Source organism: Homo sapiens, chromosome 5 (assembly GCF_000001405.40).
Source record: "Homo sapiens chromosome 5, GRCh38.p14 Primary Assembly".
In the NCBI taxonomy this organism is placed as follows: Eukaryota; Metazoa; Chordata; class Mammalia; order Primates; family Hominidae; genus Homo; species Homo sapiens.
In genome coordinates this window covers 173,383,562-173,408,650 of record NC_000005.10, presented here as the reverse complement: position 1 = coordinate 173,408,650, position 25,089 = coordinate 173,383,562, and the positions used below count along the sequence as shown (strand labels likewise).

The following is a 25,089-nucleotide window of genomic DNA, read 5'->3' as shown; positions in this document are numbered from 1 at the left end:
GGGCGAGGCATTGCCTCACCTGGGAAGCGCAAGGGGTCAGGGAGTTCCCTTTCCGAGTCAAAGAAAGGGGTGACGGACGCACCTGGAAAATCGGGTCACTCCCACCTGAATATTGCGCTTTTCAGACCGGCTTAAGAAACGGCGCACCACGAGACTATATCCCACACCTGGCTCAGAGGGTCCTACGCCCACGGAGTCTCGCTGATTGCTAGCACAGCAGTCTGAGATCAAACTGCAAGGCGGCAACGAGGCTGGGGGAGGGGCGCCCGCCATTGCCCAGGCTTGCTTAGGTAAACAAAGCAGCCGGGAAGCTCGAACTGGGTGGAGCCCACCACAGCTCAAGGAGGCCTGCCTGCCTCTGTAGGCTCCACCTCTGGGGGCAGGGCACAGACAAACAAAAAGACAGCAGTAACCTCTGCAGACTTAAGTGTCCCTGTCTGACAGCTTTGAAGAGAGCAGTGGTTCTCCCAGCACGCAGCTGGAGATCTGAGAACGGGCAGACTGCCTCCTCAAGTGGGTCCCTGACCCCTGACCCCCGAGCAGCCTAACTGGGAGGCACCCCCCAGCAGGGGCACACTGACACCTCACACGGCAGGGTATTCCAACAGACCTGCAGCTGAGGGTCCTGTCTGTTAGAAGGAAAACTAACAACCAGAAAGGACATCTACACCGAAAACCCATCTGTACATCACCATCATCAAAGACCAAAAGTAGATAAAACCACAAAGATGGGGAAAAAACAGAACAGAAAAACTGGAAACTCTAAAACGCAGAGCGCCTCTCCTCCTCCAAAGGAACGCAGTTCCTCACCAGCAACAGAACAAAGCTGGATGGAGAATGATTTTGACGAGCTGAGAGAAGAAGGCTTCAGACGATCAAATTACTCTGAGCTACGGGAGGACATTCAAACCAAAGGCAAAGAAGTTGAAAACTTTGAAAAAAATTTAGAAGAATGTATAACTAGAATAACCAATACAGAGAAGTGCTTAAAGGAGCTGATGGAGCTGAAAACCAAGGCTCGAGAACTACGTGAAGAATGCAGAAGCCTCAGGAGCCGATGCGATCAACTGGAAGAAAGGGTATCAGCAATGGAAGATGAAATGAATGAAATGAAGCGAGAAGGGAAGTTTAGAGAAAAAAGAATAAAAAGAAATGAGCAAAGCCTCCAAGAAATATGGGACTATGTGAAAAGACCAAATCTACGTCTGATTGGTGTACCTGAAAGTGATGTGGAGAATGGAACCAAGTTGGAAAACACTCTGCAGGATATTATCCAGGAGAACTTCCCCAATCTAGCAAGGCAGGCCAACGTTCAGATTCAGGAAATACAGAGAACGCCACAAAGATACTCCTCGAGAAGAGCAACTCCAAGACACATAATTGTCAGATTCACCAAAGTTGAAATGAAGGAAAAAATGTTAAGGGCAACCAGAGAGAAAGGTCGGGTTACCCTCAAAGGAAAGCCCATCAGACTAACAGCGGATCTCTCGGCAGAAACCCTACAAGCCAGAAGAGAGTGGGGGCCAATATTCAACATTCTTAAAGAAAAGAATTTTCAACCCAGAATTTCATATCCAGCCAAACTAAGCTTCATAAGTGAAGGAGAAATAAAATACTTTATAGACAAGCAAATGCTGAGAGATTTTGTCACCACCAGGCCTGCCCTAAAAGAGCTCCTGAAGGAAGCGCTAAACATGGAAAGGAACAACCGGTACCAGCCGCTGCAAAATCATGCCAAAATGTAAAGACCATCGAGACTAGGAAGAAACTGCATCAACTAATGAGCAAAATCACCAGCTAACATCATAATGACAGGATCAAATTCACACATAACAATATTAACTTTAAATATAAATGGACTAAATTCTGCAATTAAAAGACACAGACTGGCAAGTTGGATAAAGAGTCAAGACCCATCAGTGTGCTGTATTCAGGAAACCCATCTCACGTGCAGAGACACACATAGGCTCAAAATAAAAGGATGGAGGAAGATCTACCAAGCCAATGGAAAACAAAAAAAGGCAGGGGTTGCAATCCTAGTCTCTGATAAAACAGACTTTAAGCCAACAAAGATCAAAAGAGACAAAGAAGGCCATTACATAATGGTAAAGGGATCAATTCAACAAGAGGAGCTAACTATCCTAAATATTTATGCACCCAATACAGGAGCACCCAGATTCATAAAGCAAGTCCTCAGTGACCTACAAAGAGACTTAGACTCCCACACATTAATAATGGGAGACTTTAACACCCCACTGTCAACATTAGACAGATCAACGAGACAGAAAGTCAACAAGGATACCCAGGAATTGAACTCAGCTCTGCACCAAGCAGACCTAATAGACATCTACAGAACTCTCCACCCCAAATCAACAGAATATACATTTTTTTCAGCACCACACCACACCTATTCCAAAATTGACCACATAGTTGGAAGTAAAGCTCTCCTCAGCAAATGTAAAAGAACAGAAATTATAACAAACTATCTCTCAGACCACAGTGCAATCAAACTAGAACTCAGGATTAAGAATCTCACTCAAAGCCGCTCAACTACATGGAAACTGAACAACCTGCTCCTGAATGACTACTGGGTACATAACGAAATGAAGGCAGAAATAAAGATGTTCTTTGAAACCAACGAGAACAAAGACACCACATACCAGAATCTCTGGGACGCATTCAAAGCAGTGTGTAGAGGGAAATTTATAGCACTAAATGCCTACAAGAGAAAGCAGGAAAGATCCAAAATTGACACCCTAACATCACAATTAAAAGAACTAGAAAAGCAAGAGCAAACACATTCAAAAGCTAGCAGAAGGCAAGAAATAACTAAAATCAGAGCAGAACTGAAGGAAATAGAGACACAAAAAACCCTTCAAAAACTCAATGAATCCAGGAGCTGGTTTTTTGAAAGGATCAACAAAATTGATAGACCGCTAGCAAGACTAATAAAGAAAAAAAGAGAGAAGAATCAAATAGACACAATAAAAAATGATAAAGGGGATATCACCACCGATCCCACAGAAATACAAACTACCATCAGAGAATACTACAAACACCTCTACACAAATAAACTAGAAAATCTAGAAGAAATGGATACATTCCTCGACACATACACTCTCCCAAGACTAAACCAGGAAGAAGTTGAATCTCTGAATAGACCAATAACAGGCTCTGAAATTGTGGCAATAATCAATAGTTTACCAACCAAAAAGAGTCCAGGACCAGATGGATTCACAGCCGAATTCTACCAGAGGTACAAGGAGGAACTGGTACCATTCCTTCTGAAACTATTCCAATCAATAGAAAAAGAGGGAATCCTCCCTAACTCATTTTATGAGGCCAGCATCATTCTGATACCAAAGCCGGGCAGAGACACAACCAAAAAAGAGAATTTTAGACCAATATCCTTGATGAACATTGATGCAAAAATCCTCAATAAAATACTGGCAAACCGAATCCAGCAGCACATCAAAAAGCTTATCCACCATGATCAAGTGGGCTTCATCCCTGGGATGCAAGGCTGGTTCAATATACGCAAATCAATAAATGTAATCCAGCATATAAACAGAGCCAAAGACAAAAACCACATGATTATCTCAATAGATGCAGAAAAAGCCTTTGACAAAATTCAACAACCCTTCATGCTAAAAACTCTCAAGAAATTAGGTATTGATGGGACGTATTTCAAAATAATAAGAGCTATCTATGACAAACCCACAGCCAATATCATACTGAATGGGCAAAAACTGGAAGCATTCCCTTTGAAAACTGGCACAAGACAGGGATGCCCTCTCTCACCGCTCCTATTCAACACAGTGTTGGAAGTTCCGGCCAGGGCAATCAGGCAGGAGAAGGAAATAAAGGGTATTCAATTAGGAAAAGAGGAAGTCAAATTGTCCCTGTTTGCAGACGACATGATTGTTTATCTAGAAAACCCCATTGTCTCAGCCCAAAATCTCCTTAAGCTGATAAGCAACTTCAGCAAAGTCTCAGGATACAAAATCAATGTACAAAAATCACAAGCATTCTTATATACCAACAACAGACAAACAGAGAGCCAAATCATGGGTGAACTCCCATTCACAATTGCTTCAAAGAGAATAAAATACCTAGGAATCCAACTTACAAGGGATGTGAAGGACCTCTTCAAGGAGAACTACAAACCACTGCTCAAGGAAATAAAAGAGGACACAAACAAATGGAAGAACATTCCATGCTCATGGGTAGGAAGAATCAATATCGTGAAAATGGCCATACTGCCCAAGGTAATTTACAGATTCAATGCCATCCCCATAAAGCTACCAATGACTTTCTTCACAGAATTGGAAAAAACTACTTTAAAGTTCATGTGGAACCAAAAAAGAGCCCGCATCGCCACGGGAATCCTAAGCCAAAAGAACAAAGCTGGAGGCATCACACTACCTGACTTCAAACTATACTACAAGGCTACAGTAACCAAAACAGCATGGTACTGGTACCAAAACAGAGATATAGATCAATGGAACAGAACAGAGCCCTCAGAAATAATGCCGCATATCTACAACTATCTGATCTTTGACAAACCTGAGAAAAACAAGCAATGGGGAAAGGATTCCCTATTTAATAAATGGTGCTGGGAAAACTGGCTAGCCATATGTAGAAAGCTGAAACTGGATCCCTTCCTTACACCTTATACAAAAATCAATTCAAGATGGATTAAAGATTTAAACGTTAAACCTAAAACCATAAAAACCCTAGAAGAAAACCTAGGCATTACCATTCAGGACATAGGCGTGGGCAAGGACTTCATGTCCAAAACACCAAAAGCAATGGCAACAAAAGACAAAATTGACAAATGGGATCTAATTAAACTAAAGAGCTTCTGCACAGCAAAAGAAACTACCATCAGAGTGAACAGGCAACCTACAACATGGGAGAAAATTTTCGCAACCTACTCATCTGACAAAGGGCTAATATCCAGAATCTACAATGAACTCAAACAAATTTACAAGAAAAAAACAAACAACCCCATCAAAAAGTGGGCGAAGGACATGAACAGACACTTCTCAAAAGAAGACATTTATGCAGTCAAAAAACACATGAAGAAATGCTCAGCATCACTGGCCATCAGAGAAATGCAAATCAAAACCACTATGAGATATCATCTCACACCAGTTAGAATGGCAATCATTAAAAAGTCAGGAAACAACAGGTGCTGGAGAGGATGCGGAGAAATAGGAACACTTTTACACTGTTGGTGGGACTGTAAACTAGTTCAACCATTGTGGAAGTCAGTGTGGCGATTCCTCAGGGATCTAGAACTAGAAATACCATTTGACCCAGCCATCCCATTACTGGGTATATACCCAAATGAGTATAAATCATGCTGCTATAAAGACACATGCACACGTATGTTTATTGCGGCACTATTCACAATAGCAAAGACTTGGAACCAACCCAAATGTCCAACAATGATAGACTGGATTAAGAAAATGTGGCACATATACACCATGGAATACTATGCAGCCATAAAAAATGATGAGTTCATATCCTTTGTAGGGACATGGATGAAATTGGAAACCATCATTCTCAGTAAACTATCGCAAGAACAAAAAACCAAACACCGCATATTCTCACTCATAGGTGGGAATTGAACAATGAGATCACATGGACACAGGAAGGGGAATATCACACTCTGGGGACTGTGGTGGGGTCGGGGGAGTGGGGAGGGATAGCATTGGGAGATATACCTAATGCTAGATGACACATTAGTGGGTGCAGCGCACCAGCATGGCACATGTATACATATGTAACTAACCTGCACAATGTGCACATGTACCCTAAAACTTAGAGTATAATAAAAAAAAAAAAAAAAGAAAAAGAAATGCATCTAAGAATCATTTTCAAATAATCAATTAGGAAACAAACATCTTTAAATCAACAAGTTAAGAACCAAGGACATATCAAATAAGATAAAGTAGTATCAATTGTTCCAAATAACCCCTCCAATTAATCTTTATGCCTCTTTTTGTAAGACCACAGGATCTGAGTTCATACAGATGAGGTAATTGCATTGCAAAACTCGTTGGACCAGGACAACATTCTAAAATCATAACCTACTCTTACCCACAGAAAATAAGAAAATAAGCTTGCTCCCTTATTTTTCTAGAAAAAAAAATAATGTATTGTCAAAACTCAAGGTGGAATGGCTGAAGCCAGATTTTACAGGATAGTTTGGTTATCCAATGACATTGCTTTGTGGCAGTGTGAAATTTAGATTTCCAAAGAAGGAAAAGGATAGTCTTGAAGAGCAAATGCTATTTGCAAGCTGCAAAATACTGAGGTGCAATGCTAAGGAAGGAGATAAAATAGCAAAGAGGGAGAATTATAGATCCTCAGTGCCTGGTGTAACTCTTCTGGTGCTAGAAAACACACACACATCCAACCCAAATGTCCAACAATGATAGACTGGATTAAGAAAATGTGGCACATATACACCATGGAATACTATGCAGCCATAAAAAATGATGAGTTCATGTCCTTTGTAGGGACATGGATGAAATTGGAAATCATCATTCTCTGTAAACTATTGCAAGGACAAAAAACCAAACACCGCATGTTCTCACTCATAGGTGGGAATTGAACAATGAGAACACATGGACACAGGAAGGGGAACATCACACTCTGGGGACTGTTGTGGGGTGGGGGGAGCGGGGAGGGATAGCATTAGGAGATATACCTAATGCTAAATGACGAGTTAATGGGTGCAGCACACCAGCATGGCACATGTATACATATGCAACTAACCTGCACATTGTGCACATGTACCCTAAAACTTAAAGTAAAATAATAATAAAAGAAAAAAAAAGAAAACACGCACACATGTGTATGCACACCTGGCACATAGTAGGTGCTCAGTAAACACTGGCTGAATAATGTTGTCAGTGCTTTCACTAAGTTTCTCTCACAACATCTCTTTGACCCTTAACCAGAAGTATCTTCTCTCTCAGTGGAGTCCAACACCTCTTTGACCCATAACCAGAAGTATTTTCTATCTCATGGAGTCCAGCACAAAACATGTAGGCCACAGGACTGAAACTTTTAGGACAACACATCTCACTGAAGGGGAAAACTGGACAATGAGAACAGTGTAAACAGGACATTAATGAATTATTCCACTAATACCTCTTCTCTGTCTCTAGAGATAGTCTCTCAAGCCAGTGCTAACCTCCAGAAATAGTGAAAAATGATTGGCAGATTCATTAATTATTGCTTGTGAGACACATCAATGTGCTGGAAAGGGTCTCCTTGTTTCATTCAAGTCCTTCAGGCAAGGTAGAAAGAATGTTTTCACCTATATGTGAATTTCTATTGTCATCGAATGATTGTCCACACAACGGAATTACAACCAAATTTCCTATGATTGCATTACTGATCTTCCCCAGGATCCAGACAATAGTTCCTCTTGATCTTTGACCTAATAAGTAAATAAAATTTCATTTCTAATGCCATATTTTAACTTAATAATGGGATTTTAATTTATCTCCACTAGCTTTTAACCGCCATGGAGAATATTTTCCCACTTTTTGCACATTTCCTACCAACCAAATCATAGACTGTTCAGACACAGATAAGCACAGTTGGAAATGATCGCAACTAAACTTTTCTTAACCATAAATCTCAAGGAAGGGGATGTTCTGTTTTCTTTTAGTGGCCTGCTTGGCAAAAAGCTAAATAGAAAAGCTCCCCAGGGTAAGTTTTTGTGCAAGAGGTGGGTTCCAGAAGACCCCTAGAGATCAGATGAAAATGTGTCCAGTGCAAAGGTGCTGAACACTGTGAAGATGCTGAGACACTACAGGCAATCAATGTTTGCTGAATGACTATGCCAGGGTACGAGGGGTTTTAGTCCTAAGGAATGGTATAAAGGAAAACACAGGGCAAGGTTTTATGACCAGAGCACGTGAGAGAACTGAATATAAGACAGACATCAGGCTGGGCGTGGTGGCTCACACCTGTAATGCCAGCATTTTGGGAGGCCGAGGCAGGCAGATCACTTGAGGTCAGGAGTTCGAGGCCAGCTTTGCCAACATAGTGAAACCCTGTCTCTACTTAAAAAAAAAAAAAAAATTAGCCAGGCATGGTGGTTTGTGCCTATAGTCCCAGCTACCCAGCAGGCTGATACAGGAGAATCGCTTGAACCCTGGAGACGGAGGTTGCAGTGAGCCAAGATTGCACCACTGCATCACTCCAGCCTGGGTGACAGAGCAAGACTCCATCTCAAAAAAAAAAAAAGACAGGCATCAGAAAGACAAAAGCTCGCCTACATCACTTTGTCCTATCAGGATATATTTAATTACCTGGCTTGGTAAGCAACAACCATTGAGTGTAAATTGTTTAAAAATCACTATACTAAAAGAATCAGATTTGTTGTATAAATGTTCTTTGTCAAATACATGATGTTTTCCATTTTTGGCTGGAAATCTAGTTTCTATTATTTATACCGAGATTTATGTAACTTCTAAATGACTTTTGTATATCTTTGTGTGCACTGGCTCACTCCTTTTTTGCATATGGTCAGCATTGACTATATGTTTGTGGAAGAAAAAGATAAATGAACAGCTGTCTTTAGAAAGCAAACATTTCCAAACATTTGGCCACAAAACGGGTGGAAATGCTGGAGATATGATAGGCTATGAACCTGATTCATTCTCATGCAACCTGAAGGATCCCATCTGGAAATCACCCCTCAAGAAGACAAAAAATAAATGTAAACAGAGAAGAAAAAAAGAAATGGACCCACTGGGAAGTTTAAGACATTGGGAATAATGTTCTTTTTTTTCTATCTCATATCTAGCCAGGTCAAGCAACATCAGGTTCTTTCCCTGAACTTCTTCCATTAGGCACTCCATGGAAGGCCCGAGTGGATGGATTAGCCCTTAACTGATCCATAACATGGTCATGCCATGCCCAAAACCATGGTAATCCATGGCCTGGGCCATAGAATACAGTCACTGACTTCTCCTCTGCCCAATCCTTATCATGTCTCAGAGATGAGACCCTAAATCCACAGAGGCTTAGGGGAAGGACAGGTAAAGTCCACACCTCCATCTAGAAGGCGGTTTCCCAAGTGTGGTAGGCAGGTTTGCCACTGAACATATGCAAGACCATTTTAGGTGGGGCCTCATTGAATGCTTATTCTTAAAGTAGTTCTAAATTTATCTATCTTATTCATTTGTATGTCCTAGGAAAGTTATAACCAATACAGAAACCATTGCATCAGTTGAGTACTCTCTAAGGTGACACTCACCAGCATTCCTTTCAAAGACAAGCTTGAGGTAAGGATGTCGTTAGGGAACAAGACTGTGTGGCTCTAGCTTTGGATTTGTGGGTCCTTTCCTTGCTTTTAGACCCCCATCTCCACTGGGCTCCCAAGATGCTACAGACACACACAGGATTGTTCAGTCATGTAGGCTTTGGAAAGGCAGTAAATCACAGAAACATGAATGCATTCACACATGACAGATTCTAAGAAGGCTTGCAGTTTTTAAAAAAATCCTGCCTACCTTTGTTTGGTCTTTTCTTCACATCGCACATATTCTTATCCCACAGGACTCCCTTGCAAGTTACTGTTTCACACTGTCCAAATTTTACCTTTGGGCAAAATCCAATCATGAAAAAGCTGAATGTTTGGGCCAGAGTGTCTGGGGTCCTTGTACAGTTGTTTTATTGGAGGGACCTGCTTCCATTAAGAGATTTTTTTTTGTAAGGCATATGAAATTCATTGCCCCATGTATTGTGGAGCTATGGTGAGGAAGTATTTGACTTCATCACACACAGTTTCCTCCAGGAAAACCCGGCATAGAAATCTCTCCAGCCTTGGTTCCAGTAGGAATTGTGCTTCTCCTAAGTGAGCTGGCTTGTGTTAAGTTGATGGACAGCATGAGTCCTTTTGTAGATCATATTTCCCTCTTTGCTTTGGCCACCAGTAAGCTCACAACCAAACTTGTAGTTTACCTTTATATACTGGGCAGGACTTGAGGGTTCAAATATCTGTGCACAACTCTACCTCTGGCTTTTTCTTATTTTCTTACCCTTGTACTTCTTTGCCCTGACATCTTATTTACGCAGGTTGTCCTGTTGTTTTCCTTGTTCTCTATAAGGTGTCTTAAATAATGTAGGAATAGATCCATAGGTGTTTTGGCCCTTCTTTCACTTCATAAAGTTGGAGCTGGGAAGAGCATCCAGCCCACAGAATGGTAAGGCCTAACTGCACATAGGAAAGCAAACATCCTGTTTGTCCCATGGAGGAACATTTTGCATTTCTGTGTGGTTTGCTTTTTATACTTTTGGTAGATTGTGGCTTCCTCAAATTATTTGTTTGAGCGTAAATCATCAAAAGTGGTATTTGTATATAGCTTGACTATTTTAGCTTTTCAAAAAATTTCTTGTGTGCTTATAGCCTGGGCATTCATGGGTCCCACCCAGCCTCTAAATAAAAAAGTTGGAGCCGGCTGAGCGTGGTGGCACAAGCCTGTAATCCCAGCACTTTGGGAGGCCAAGGCAGGCGGATCACGAGGGCAAGAGATAGAGATCATCCTGGCCAACATGGTGAAACCCCGTCTCTACCAAAAACACAAAAATTAGCTGGGCATGGTGCTGCATACCTGTAGTCCCAGCTACTCCGGAGGCTGAGACAGGAGAATCACTTGAACCCGGGAGGCAGAGATTGCAGTGAGCCGAGATCATGCCACCGCACTCCAGCCTGGAAACAGAGCGAGACTCCGTCTCAAACAAAATAAAAAGGGGCCACTCACCTGAAAAGCTCAGAAGCCACCCTGGTCCTTCTTCCCCACTCTCCGCGGATGACAACATCTGGCACAACTGGCTGACAATTTGCAGGCTGCAGCCAGCATCCTCCTGTCTTTCTATTCTCACCAGAGCCCATGCTGCAACCTCCCAGCAATTGCAGCATTCTTATTTTTAGTACTATTCCACATCCGGGTAAAGGAAGACACTCTAGATCTTCTTTTATGGTGTTGAGAAACCAGAAGTTCCTGACAGACCCCGTGCTTGCTTCCTTCCCTTCATAACCTCATTTAATGGTTCTCTCCATTTCCCCAGCAGGAAAATCAAGACTCAGAAAGTTAAGATTAACTTAAGTTTGCATCCTTCTCTCAATCCCTCAGTAAATGACAAGGAAGTTGGGAAGAGTGACAGACTAACAATTCGGCTCAGAATTCAAGGAGCTCAGGCGGAAAAACAGTAAGAGATTAAATTATAGGATCTTTTTTCAATGTCCCTGTCCCCTCCCTCTTCAGCTCCCTCTTTCATTCTAGAAATACTCTTTCTACTCCACTTTTCCCTCCACAGAAAACTGCCAAGAGGCCTCAATTGTCCCCTTCACCGCTGGCCCCAGACCTCCAAACATTTCTTGTGCTTTGCATTTCTTGAGCCTTTCTCTCTGGCCTCCAATTCAAGCAAAAGGCCCAGGGGAAACAGGCGGTGTGATCAATGCATCCACGAAGGCAACTATGACAGCCCTTTCGTAATGTTCTTCTCTCAGAGAGCATTTTTAAAGGAGATCCCAGGGCAGCATGCACACTTTTACTCAAAGGAATAACATTCCTAATGCAGGACATTCAGGCGGCAAGGAGGCTGGGGAATAGCACAGAGGTCACCCTACTTCCTGGTGCCCCCCTCCCCTGCCTGCCGTGGGAAAGAAAGCCTCAAGCCCCATGTCGCGGTGTGGTACAAGAGGAAGTCCATCCCTCTGGCCTCCAACCAGTGCCCAGCCACCTTTTCCGGCTGGCCTATGACAAGGAACAGAGCTGTCACTGAGGGAAGATGGCCTGCAGATGGGTCTAGAGGTCAGGACTGCTAGGGGTCCCGGCTAGAGTAGCTGCCTTCCCTGGCCCGCCTTGGACCAAACTGGGCCAGACCCAAATGCCCATCCAGACTGCCTCCAATGGGCCACTCCTCTGAAAGCTCCATCCCCATCCAGTCCCTGAGGCTGACCCAGTCTTTGAGCCGCCTGCTTTCCTTGCCGGCTGAGTTCTAATGCAAGCAGGCAGCCTTGTGCCAACATCCAAACTCCCCCACCCCCTAGTGGAGAGAGGAAAACCACGCGCCTCCCACCCAGCTCCAGGCCCAGCGCCTGCCAAGACACGGCCATCTCTCCAGCCACTGGGGACAGAGAGCCATTGCTGGGAGGAACTTCCAGGCAGAGCCAAGAGGTAGCCCTGCCGGGCACATTTGTTCCTCCTCAGGCCTCCCTGAGGGTGCCTGACAGCATTTGCTCAACGTTTTCCTGGCCTGCCCATCCATGCCAAGTCTTAGACTGTGAGGGATCAAAGATGTGAATGAAAATGGAAAAAGCATGTTGGCACTCGTTGCCTCAATGGGAATACAGAGTGTTATGGAGACAAGACACGAGTTTGTGGATTATTCTTCCATAATCATCCAGATGTGTAGGCTGGCCCGGGTTGCAAAGGCCCAGTAAAACCTCGCACTCCCAGCTCGCAATCATCTGGCTCCAGAGGCCTATATCACACTGCCCTGTGCCTGTCACAGCTCAGAGGCTCTGCAGAGGCAAGTGTTGCTGTCCCTAGGCCAGAGAGCTGGCCTGACACCCCCTCTTTAGAGCTTGCCTCTGACACACTGAACATGTGGGGGACCTTTGCGTTTGGTTTTGGAAATTTTTTTTTTTTGGTTCGTTAGCTGATTTTCCATAAGTTGACAAAAAATGTGAGAAAATTCCATTTTCTCGAATTCCTTAGCTAGATGAACATTTGTGCCCAGTGACTGACTCTGATGTAGGGTTCCAAAGAAAGGTGACTGGGACTGTGACACACAGCCTGCCTTATGTCAAGAACTGTCAGAGAGGACAAGGAGAGGGGGAGCAAAAGAACATTCCAGGCATCTGCCAAGTCACCAGTCAGGGCATCAGGATGGAAAAGTAAACAAGTTCCCCATGAGGCTCTCCGGGAGCTCCCCCAAATCTAATGAGGGAGACAGATATGGGGGGAGTACAGTATTTATGATTTGCCCTGTAGAGGAATGAGCTATACTGGGGAGAAGCTGAGAGGAGGTGGTATTTTGTCTGAAAAGAAAAAAATCCCTCCTGAAAGACATTTTTAGAAGCATTCCCATCGAGTCACCATGTCCATCAGTGACTCAGTGCTTCACAGCCGATGAAGCCTTGGGTCCTCGTCCAGCCCTCTGCTGGCAGTTTCTAGAGGCTGCTGCTTGCTCATGTGTCCCCCACCCCCATCCCCCAAAGTCCACTTTTCTGGATCAGGGAGAATAATCGGGGCAAACACTGGACCCAGTAGCAAGAAGAGGGATGGTCTGAGGGAGATGGAATCCAGCCCCCAGTTGTTTCTTTGGACCTCTAGAATGTTTTTAAATTTTTTAATTTTAGTACTATCATTTAAAGTTAGAATGCATCACATAAAAATTATCTTGAATTGTCTCTTGTCTTGAAAAGAACTGGAAGACATGGTGACATGGGGCCATATTCCAGCATGGCATCTCTAGGCTGCCACTGGGTGGGAGCTGCCCGCTTCAGATGGAGCATGTACCAGTGAGCCTTTGCTGTGTAAGAAACCACCCCAAATCTTAGTGGCTTAAAACAATGATAATACATTAGCTGCAATTCTGGGTGTCAGCAATTCGGGCTGGGTTCTGCTGAGCATTTCTTCAGCCAGTTTTGCCGAGCCTCACTCATACTACTTGCTGCAGCCAGAGGCTGACAGGCTGCTGGTGGAATGCCTCGATTCTCCTCCATGTGGCCTGTCCAGCAGCCAGCTCAGCTCCTTCACGTGGGCTCTTCCATCATCAGGAGAGGGGAAAGCCCCAATAGGCAGGCACTTTTTGAGCCTCTGCTTACCTTTCTTTCATTAATGTTCTATTGGATAAAGGAAGATAAAAGATCAGTCCAATTCAAAGTCTGGGGAAACAGACATCACCTCTTGATAGGAAGAGCTGCAAAGAATTTATAGTATTTTTTTTCATGGGCTCCCCATCACACAGAAACTGGGGGTCAGTTGCTATTTCTTCTTGAACTCGAGCTGCTGATTTTCACATATCTGAAGTATTAGTCTTGTATTAGTCTGTTCTCACGCTGCTAATAAGGACATACCAGGCCAGGCACGGTGGCTCACACCTGTAATCCCAGCATTTTGGGAGGCCAAGGCTGGTGGATCACTTGAGGTCAGGAGTTTGAGACCAGCCTGGCCAACATGGTGAAACCCTGTCTCTACTAAAAATGCAAAAATTAGCTGGGTGTGGTGCCACGCACCTGTAATCCCAGCTACTTGGGAGGTTGAGGCGGGAGAATCACTTGAACCTGGGAGGCAGAGATTGCAGTGAGCCGAGATCACGCCATTGCACTCCAGTCTGGGCAACAGAGTGAGACCCTGTCTCAAAAAAAAAAAAGACATACCGGTAACTTATAAAGGAAAGAAGTTTAACGGACTCACAGTTCCACATGGATGGGGAGGTCTCACAATCATGGTGGAAGGCAAAGGAGAAGCAAAGGCATGTCTTACATGGCAGCAGGCAAGAGAGCGTGTGCAGGAGAACTCCCCTTTATAAAACCATCAGATCTCATGAGACTTATTCACTATCATGAGAACAGTATGGGAGAAACTGCCCCCATGATTCCATTATCTCCACCTGGCTCCACCCTTGACATACGGGGATTATTACAATTCAGTGTGAGATTTGGGTGGGGACACAGCAAAACCACATCATCTGGTCGTCCTCAACTTCCCTAAACCTGTTGGACCCCTGCAGACATCTAAGGTAAGAAACTAAACTGACAACTCTTCTGCTACTTGGGCTCAGAGCTGAGCTTGCCTGACCCTTCTATTCATGCCCATGAGAAGGTGAAATGGATTTGATGATGAAAATAAAACCCAGAAGTAGGATCCAACATCATCAACGAGGGCTTTGCTCAGTGATCCCAAAGGGAAGTCAGGATGGCTAAGATCCAAGGTGTTGAACAGCAAAGCAGAGAACACATCAGTGATGCTGAGACAGACCAGAGTCTCAGGTGAGAAAGGTATGATTATAGATGGGGTGAAAATATGACACAGGGCAAGGTTTTACAAGGCAGCTCCAGAAAGAAATCACAAAAATGACAACCAGGGATAAGAAAAGAAGAGAAAACTCCCCCTTCACCAACAGACCATTCTCATCACACTGGCTCTGCAGCAAAACACTCAGGGGCAAGGCAGTGGAGAGCCAAGCCACAGTGTAGGTTGCAGAGCAAGTGGGAGACCTGGAGGATTGTAAAACAGGATACTCAGGGGGACAAAACACAGTCTACATGAGCAGAGGTTCCCGTACATAGTACAGAACATCTCCAGATGATGCACGAGGACAGCAGGGCAGGGCTCAGTGCTTGGGGACCAGGGCAAGTTCTATCAGAACTAACTGGCAACACCTGTTACAGTGAAAACTGATGTTCTTCCCTCTCTTTCCATAAGAATTGTTTGGCTTTTGTTCCCAGGGGTACAAAAGTATATCTGAAGTTAATAAATATATTCAAATATGATAATATAATTTATATGCTAATATATACATTGCAATGAAGTGTGTACCACCACCTATGAAGAATTCTTGACAAAAAAATAAATGAACTTACTCAATCTGATCAAGACTTAACCTCTAGGTTACAGGAAATACTGAGGATAGAGGAACAGATAAAGCAACACCATGAAGAAACACTCAGATACTCAGACCATAGGACTTTGGACAACTCGACTGGCCCAGCCTTTCATCATCAGTATTTAAAAGGGGAGGGAGTAGAAGACTGTTCTAAAACAAAAGAGACTGAAGAGGTATGTCAGGTAAATGCAATGCAGGAAACATGAGTGGTTTCACATCCTAAAACACTAAAATCTCAGCCATAACAAAACACTTGGAGGATAATTAGAGATACTGCAACACGGACTGGGTATTTGATATTAGGAAATCGCTGTTTCTTAGGCATGAGACTATTATTGTCTATATGTAGAAGTATATTCTTAATTTAGGAGACACATACCAAAGAATTTATGGTTCATGACAGTTATTAAAATATTATCTTTCTGCTCCAAGTTTGCCTTTCTATACTTGACCTTGTGATGCTGGGTCCAGGACTCTGCAAACCATGTGATAGGCTCTGCCAAAAGTGGGAGCTAGAGAGAGGCTGCAAGGCTAAAGGGGAGGAAAGGGTTTGCTTCTTCCTACTTCTTGTTTGTTTGTGTTCTGTCACCTGACAGTGCTTCACCCTGGCAGAGGCACTTCATTCCTGTAGCAGCCACTGAATTAAGCCCCTTTCTCAAGAGGTCTGGGGCCCAGCCCCACAGATCAGAGACCAGCACCAGACTAACAGCTGCTCAGTCTCAAGGATCAGACTTTCAGCAACATAGGGTCCCTCCTCAGCCCTAGGGATGGTAGCTACTTCATAAAAATTGCTTCCTCTGTAATTCTAAGGAATCTAAGGCATTCTCTTTTTCTATTTCAGTTATGTAGTTAATAACTTTATACCTAATTAACAAATCATTATAGTAAATTATTTCCATTCAAATAACAGGTATGGTTTCTGTCTCCTGAAGGGGTAAAGTATGTCATAATGTTTGCAAGTTGCAAAAGGAAAAAACATAGATATTTAGTTAGATATACATACTTGTATATGCAACGCACACACATACACAAATGTATATTGAGATAAAAGATATAGAAGAAAAATGTTGAATCTAGGTGGTGGGTGGCACAGTAGTCATTGTATTAGACTTTCAACTTTGCAAATTTAAATGTTCTCATATTGAAAGGTTAAAAAAAGGGCCAGGCACAGTGGCTCACGCCTGTAATCCCAGCACATTGGGAGGATGAGGCGGGCGAATCACTTGAGGTCAGGAGTTCGAGACCAGCCTGGCCAACATGGTGAAACCCTGTCTCTACTAGAAATACAAAAATTAGCCAGGTGTGGTGGGGTGCGCCTGTAATCCCAGCTACTCAAAAGGCTGAGGCACAAGAATCACTTGAACCCAGGAGGTGGATGTTGCAGTGAGCCAAGATGGCACTATTGCACTCCAGCCTGGGTGACAGACCAAGACTCTGAATTTTAAAAAAAGAATAAAAAAAGAGGAAAATTAGGATGATGATATATAATCATTGTTCACTATGGTATTGGTATGAAAATTAAGTTGAGATAACAATTAGAAAGAAAGAAAAAAAAAACACCTTTACCATTTTCCCAGATATGCCTGCAGCCCCAAAGGCCATTTATCCTGTGAGAGGTTCGAGTCCTGCTGGCGAGGCTCCCCAACCTTCTTTGACAGAGAAAGCACGTGAACTTGTGAGCGGCAAGTCAGGTCTGCCAAGAACAGCTACATCTGCAGTCAACCCACGGAGGCCCTGCCTTGGCAGAGAATCCAAGCCTGGAGGGTCTTTTATACAGGACTCCTCCAGTTCATTCCAGCAGAAAAGAACCTACGCCTTTTTCAAAGAAGAGAAGGACATTCCACAAACTCCCTGACAAATCACTGGTTTGGATTACCTCAGTCAGTTCAAATCTCTGACCTAAATCCCTCGTGTTCTAAATTAATCCCCTTCTTCTTGCTCTTTCTTCCCACAAAGGCATTTTTGCTATGAAAGAAAGCCTTGCCTATAGCTTAGTAAATTGTCTGCACCTGTCTCTTGGCAAAACCTCATCAAGACCCTGGAGCCACCTCTATTGTCCTTTCTGCCATGCCACCTTGCTTTTCCTCCAAGCCTCTGACAATTTAGCCAAAATGAAGAGCTAGCCTCTCGTATGGTCCTGATCGCTACAGCCCATATTGTGTTGGGTTTCCATCTATCACTTGTGGGTGAGGTTTTGTCTGTTTCATGTCATTGACCACATCAGTCCCTGTCCCACCACAGGTCATTTATTCTGTACTCTTTCCTTCATTGGCTGCACCCTCACTTGATCCAATTTTTGGTGAACACAGTTGCTTTCACTGCCTTAAGAAAAACATTTGACTATCTCAGCCCACAATTTAATCTCTCTCAGACAAGGAAGATGGGTGTGAATTCTTGTATTACTTTACATGGAGGCCCAGGGAGTAGTTCTCCCATTCCTGGAGGCCTCTTGCAAAGCTTGTCATAGAGAAGACTGTGAAAGCAATGGCACCAGGACAAAATAGCAGGCCTCACCCCGGGAAAGTGGGGGATCCAAAACCTACAGCTACTTGGCCTTCACTGCCTGGTGGTTGGCTCTGTCATTTCCTACATCTGAAATAGCCTCCCTCCTTGCCTACTTCCTAAAAGCCTACCCATCTAGTGAGGTCTGGCTCTACCGTTCCGACCCTCACAAAGCTTCCTCTCCTCCCACCAGCAAGAAGACAAAGGGGCAATAAACACAGGAAGAGATCCTCACCCTCTCTTACAATGTGGAAAATGAACATGAGGCCAATCAGCCCACATTTTTCACCCCTGGGGTTGTGTAAAAACAAAATGTTTGTAATACTCAGCATCAGAAAGTGTCTGGAAAGATGAGGACTCTCATGTCCTACTTGCTGTGATCTAAATTGGTGGGGCCACTGTGGAGAAGAGATTGACACTATCAAGTAAAATTTTAAACATATACATCTTATGATCAAGAAATTCCACTTCTCATCAGCTATCTTTGGAGAGATAGATACTCCTAGCATAAATACACAAAGAGTGTATAACCAAATGTTCACTGAGAGTTGCTTGAAATAGGGACAAATTGGAAACAACTTAAGCATCCATTAATAGAGCAATGGATAAATAAACAGTTGCACAGCTATTCTATGAAATGCCAGGAAGTCATTAAATAGAATATAGTAGGTAAAAGCAATGAGACCCAGTAGCAATGAGTGTGCTAGCATGCAGATCCTGGTGTATGATAATATTTCCTATGAAAAGAAGGAAATAGCAGGGCTCCTCAGAGAAACAGCTGACTCCAGAGTGAAGGCAGGGCAGATACAAGATGGGCCTGGAACATTTTTTAATGCCAAAAAGGAAAGAGGTTCTCCAAAAAAAAAATGATGAGGACATCCCCTAAGGACATGGGAAGCGGGGGCCCACTGGCCAAAAATCGGACAATTTGAGCACCACAATAATTAAGGATAGTAACATTACAGACCATTGAAAAATCAGAACCCCTGAGTCCATAATAAATGGGTAAACAAATACGTAAGAGAGAAGGGAGAACTCTACCTTACAGCAGAATGCCAAGCCCACTGGTACACATGGAAGAAATGTTACAGCTAGAAAATCATCATTTTGCAACCATCACAATAAAGTTTGGATCTGGCAAGAATCATCAACGGATGCTAAATCTGGGGAGAAATGGTGATGAGGAGCAGGCTATTAGCATGACCTTCAGTATCCTCCAACAGACTGCATATTGGTTGAGGTTGTAAAAAGAAAAAAACAGTGACTATATGGTAAACAAATCAGACAACACTTCAAGCAGATGATCAAAGTTAGCATCACCAACGAGGGGCAGACAGACATTGTGAGTGAGTACCTTGAGAAGAACTCATCACCTATATAATATTCCGGCTGAAAGTGCCTACCTTGAAGCTCATCATCAATCTAATCATGAGAGACCATCACAAAACCCCAAATAAGAAAGCGCCAATTTTATTAAAAGAGACTATATTCAAAAGTGTCAATATCATAAAATACAAAGACTAAAAATGTTCCATATTAATAGACAACCAAAGAGACATGACAACTAAATGCAATATCTTATCCTAGATGGCATCTTAGATTAGAGGGAGGAATACAAATACTATAAAGGACCTCATTTGATTAACTGACAAAAATAAAATTTAGATTATAAATGAAATAAAAGTAGCATATCAATATTGAATTTAGAGTAGTTGACAACTGTTAAGGCTTTTTAAGAGAATATCCTGCCAGATGTGGTGGCTCACATCTGTAATCCCAACACTGGGAGGCCAAGGTGGGTGGATGGCTTGAGTCCAGGAATTCAAGACCGGCCTGGGCAACATGGTGAGACCTTATCTCTACTAAAAATTTAAAAATTAGCTAGGTGTGGTGTCCCATGCCTGTGGCCCAAGCTACTCAGGAGGTTGAGGCAGGAAGATCACTTGGGCCTGGGAAATTCAGGCTACAGTGGGCCATGCTCATGCCACTACATTTCAGCCTGAGTGACAGAAAACAAAACAGTCTCAAAAAAAAAAAAAAAGAACATCCTTAGTCTTAGGAATTATGCAGTGAAATATTTACGAAAGGAATATAGCGTATGCCACTTATTCTCAAATAATTTGTAAAAGAAAATTAAATTTTATATTTATATGTGATGGATATATAAAATATACATACACACATATTAAAATACATATATGCAAATATACATATATGCATACATACACACATACATATGCATACATATAGCAAATAGGGCAAAATATTACATTTGAAGAAAGGGTATTTGAAAATTCTTCTAACCATTCTTATTCTTGCAGCTTTTCTGTTTCAAAATAAGAAGCTGTTTCAAAATAAAAAGTTGGGAACAAAAAATGATGTAGCTATACATGCTAGCATAGAAAGAGCTCCAAAATACACTGTTGAGCAAAAGAAGAAAAATTACAAGGTAAATCTTTCTGTGTGATATTTCCCATATTGCCTACATTTGCGCTAAGTAATATATAGAGAATGGTCTGGAGAAGCACACACCAAATTGATTACATAGTTTACCTTTGTCACAGAAGAGAGGAGACCAGGATAGCAGAGTACTTTTGCTTATCTAAAATGTTTTTATTTTTAATAAAAAGAACATATTTATGAATTGCTCAGGCAATTAGAAATAACCTTTTTTTAGTCAAAAAGTACCATGCTGGCAATGTTGTGGAGAAAAAGGAACACTTATACGCGTTGGTGGGAGTGTAAATGAGTTCAACCATTGTGGAAGACAGTGTGGCAATTCCTCAAAGACCTAAAGACAGAAATACCATTCGACCCAGTGATCCCATTACTTGGTATATGCCCAAAGGAATATAAATCATTCTGTTATAAAGACACATTCATGCGTATGGTCATTGCAGCATTATTCACAATAGCAAAGACATGGAATCAACCTAAATGCCCATCAATGATAGCCTAGATAAAGAAAATGTGGTACATATATACCATGGAATACTATGCAGCCATGAAAAAGAACAAGATCATGTCCTTTGCAGGGACATGGATGGAGCTGGAGGTCATTATCCTCAGCAAACCAATGCAAGAACAGAAAACCAAACACTGCATGTTCTCACTTATAAATGAAAGCTAAATGATGAGAACCCATGGAAACATAGAGGGGAACAACACACACTGGGGCCTATCAGAGGGTGGAGGGTGGGAGGAAGGAGAGGATCAGGAAAAATAACTAATGGGTACTGGGCTTAATACCTGGATGATGAAATAATCTGTACAACAAACCCCCATGAAACAAGTTTACCTATGTAGCAAATCCGCACATGTACCCCTGAACTTAAAATAAAAGTTAAAAAAAAAACAAATAAAATAAAGATAACCTAAAAGAACAGGAAAAAAATAACTTTTTTAAGGTTAAAGTCTTCTTCTCAATTCCCATCAGTGACAAGAATCACAGCTCAGCTTTCCTGAGATAGTACTTATTTAAATATTAGAGCCCACTCTAATATTTGACAGTCTCAGAGACTATCTGGATTTAGGCCTTGAGAAACCTGGTCAGGAAATGGCAGCAGCACAGGTATTTGGAAAGACCCTGGGCTTCAGAGTCAGAAGAGTCTGAACCAGACATGGTTCAAACTTTTGAACTCACTAACATCACTCACTAACAGTGTGATACAGAACAAAAGACAAATCTCTCCGACTCTCTGTTTCTGTATCTGTACAAAGGGAAAATAGCCCCTCTACAGCAGAGCTGCAGTGAGCATTAGGTATAATGCATGGAATTTGTGTGTGCCTTAGACAGCATGTACTTTGCCCATCCTGGGGCTGACATGGAGCATCTGTTTATTGCTATTCATTCTATCTTTTTTTTTTTTTCTTAAATAAAGACAGGGGCTCACCTCGTTACCCTGTTTGAGGCTGGTCTCAAACTTCTGGGCTTAAGCAATCCTCCCACTTCAGCTTCCTCAAGTTCTGGGATTACAGGCGTGAGCCACCATGCCTGGCCATTCTACCTCTTTTTAGTGATTTGTTTGCATGTACTCTTCCCACATAAACCCATGGGCTTTTTAAGGAAGTGTCCATCCCTCATTCACCTCTTTGCCTCCAAATGTGCCTCACAGAACACTTTGTACCTTGGTACCTGAAAAACATTTGCTGGCAGAGTAAATGAATCTAGTCACAGAAAATCTGTACCAACATGAAAGTTAGCTGTAAGGCTCCAGGTTTACTTTACAGTTGTCAAATACAGGGAAACACGGACTCTGAAGTCACCGTATAGAAACCTGCAAGTGCCAAGAAGAAAAAGAGGTGACTATGACCTCATGTTCTCAGTGGAGGTGAGAGAACTGTGACTCAGCACTCCTGAATCAAAAGGCAGTCATAGGTGTTAGGTAAAACTAGTGCCTGGTCAAAAAGAGTTGGAAAATGCCAAATGAGACCAAACTAAACAGGCTTCTTTACTGCAGGACTTATCAGGGGCTTTAAAATGCTAATGTGCACGATGAACATCCAACAGACGATATAATTTGCAATATATTATAATGTCATCCAGAAGGTGACATTTTTGATAAATCTGAATGATGAGGTAAAGGCATTATCCATGTAAAATAAAGGGAGAGTGAGTGTTCCAGGCAGAGGGAACAGTGTCCACAAAGGCCCTAAGGCTGGAAGGTGAATTGTGCACTCATGGAACTGAAAGGTGAAAAGGCGTGGAGGCAGATGAGCCCAAGGAAAAGCATCTCTCCAGGGGAAGCCGGGGAGAGAGGCCAGAGCTAGATGGTGCAGGATCATGTAGGCTGCGTAAGAGTTTTATTCCAAGCGCAGTGGGAAGTTCCTGAAGGGTTTTCAGCTTGAAAGTTATACAGTCTAATGTATCCTGTAAGATCAGATTTCAGTTTCCTCCACTTTAAAATGGAGATAAATAAGAGAATGTGTAAAAGGTGCTGAGTACCTTGCCTGTGTCAAAAATGAATGGGGCCAGGTGCGTTGGCTCATGTCTATAATCCCAACACTTTGAGAGGCCGAGGCAGGTGAATTATCTGAGGTCAGGAGTTCGAGACCAGCCTGACCAACATGACAAAACCCTGTCTCCACTAAAAATACAAAAATTAGCTGGGCATGGGGGCAAACGCCTGTAATCCCAGCTACTAGGGAGGCTAAGGCAGGAGAATCGCTTGAGCCTGGGAGGCGCAGGCTGCAGTGAGCCAAGACTGCACCGCTGCACTCCAGCCTGGGTGACAGGATGAGACTCCGTCTCAGAAAAAAAAGAAAAAGAATGGAAGATGTTCTCAAATATGAGCTGCATCCCAAGCACCTTGGGTGCTTGTTAAAACCAAGACTGCTTGTTCTTACCTCCAGAACTTCTGAGCAGTCAGTCTCGGGAGGCCCAGGAACCTACATTTCTAACAAATTTCCAGGTGATCAGGCTGCTGGTCAGAGGACTTCTCTTCAAGAACCCTTGGGTGGGAGGGAAAAATAAAGAAGTGGGAGGTGCCTCCGGGAGGCTGCTGCAGTGAGTCAGAGCTGGTGGAGTGAAATGATACCCTTGAGATGGAGAAAAGTGGTCCAGAATAGAAGAGTTCTATTTTGGAGGTAGAATGGACAGAACTCATTGATGGATTGGAAGATGGGGCTGAGGGACTGGGAGAAGTCAGGCAGGACATTCCTAAATCTCTGGGTTGAGCAGCTAGGCAGGGATGGTAGCATCCACTGAATGGGCGCCCCTTGTGGAAGAGCAGCATTGGAGATACAGACTTGGACACATGAACTCTGTGATCTCTGCAACACCCAGCTGGCCATGGCAGGTAGGCGTGGTTGGGGGGGAGTCTTCATGAGGGCAGTGATCACATCTATCTTGCCTTCCATTACACCCCCAGATCTCAGCCCCGGCCTTCTGGTACATATTCAGAAAACATGTTTAAAAGTTGGTGAACAAAGGGAGGCTGAGAAGCCACAAAATCAAAGGTGCTAGGGGGTGCACATGCTGCCATGTTTCAGGAGGCCACAAACGTTCATCTACAGAGATTGGGTCACTGGATGAGCTAAAGTGCAATCTCCATCACTTCCAAACCTTGGCATGTATGGTCAAGTGGGAGGTTTGGAACAGAGCAAAAGACAGAAGTGAGCCACCCGCTTCATGGTAGGGTTCTTCCTTCAGAAGTCAGAGATATCATATGTGAGCCTTTCTTGGGTGGGTCTTGAGATGGAAAGGTTTGAACTGTGAGCTAAATGAGCATGAAGGCCAGAGGAATCTGGTTAACTTGGGCTTTTTATAAAATAAATTATGGGAAAATCAAGCTGTGCAACTCAGGGAAATGAGGAGGGAGGGATAGGGAAACAGGGAGAGAGGACACTGAGGATGGAAGAGAAAAATGCCTTTACCAAGGCTATCTACCCAGTAAAGGTCCAAGGGGGCAGTCCCCAGAACTTGACCTCCCAGGCCAACCTTGACCCTTGAGTCCTTGCCACGTTTTGAGCAGGCATGATGGACCCTCAGTCTCCCCACTTACCAAGTTGTAAATTAAAAGGCTGTAATTCCATCCAGGGGTTCTGGTGACATCATAAACCACAGAACCACAAGCTCAACTCACCAGAAGCCCCAAGATGGAATTACACTCTTTTTTCCTAATCCAGGCAGCTCTGGTCACTGCCATTTTTTCATGATATAATAGAATTGAGCAATATTTTAACCATTTGTGTGGGGCCTTTCTCATCTGGCCCTAGGGCTCCGTCTCTCCTGTCCTCGCCCACCCACTGGAAGCCTTTCGGCTGAGGGTGACCTTCAGGGATACCCTTGCCCTCCAAGGCTCCCCTTTCTCCAAGCCTGCTCCTCTCCCCTCTTTCCTCCAGGTCTCTTCTGCTCCTCCACCTCCTCCCAGGAGCCAGCAGCACTCTGGTTTCTACCTTAAAATGTTGCTTTTCGGCCAGATGTGGTGGCTC

The 25,089-nt window shown here is 43.2% G+C and overlaps 1 long non-coding RNA gene across 2 annotated transcripts in view; it reads right to left on the bottom strand.

The window, feature by feature from the left end:
* Nucleotides 1-23,663, bottom strand: part of LOC105377732 (uncharacterized) — a 139,446-nt gene extending 115,783 nt beyond the window's left edge. Inside the window, exon 1 of one of the 2 annotated variants that reach the window (XR_001743001.1) lies at nucleotides 23,503-23,663. This is a non-coding gene — a long non-coding RNA (uncharacterized LOC105377732). The remainder of the gene's footprint in view (nucleotides 1-23,502) is intronic. The other variant, XR_007059057.1, reaches the window with a different exon arrangement.
* Nucleotides 23,664-25,089: the final 1,426 nt, after the last annotated feature.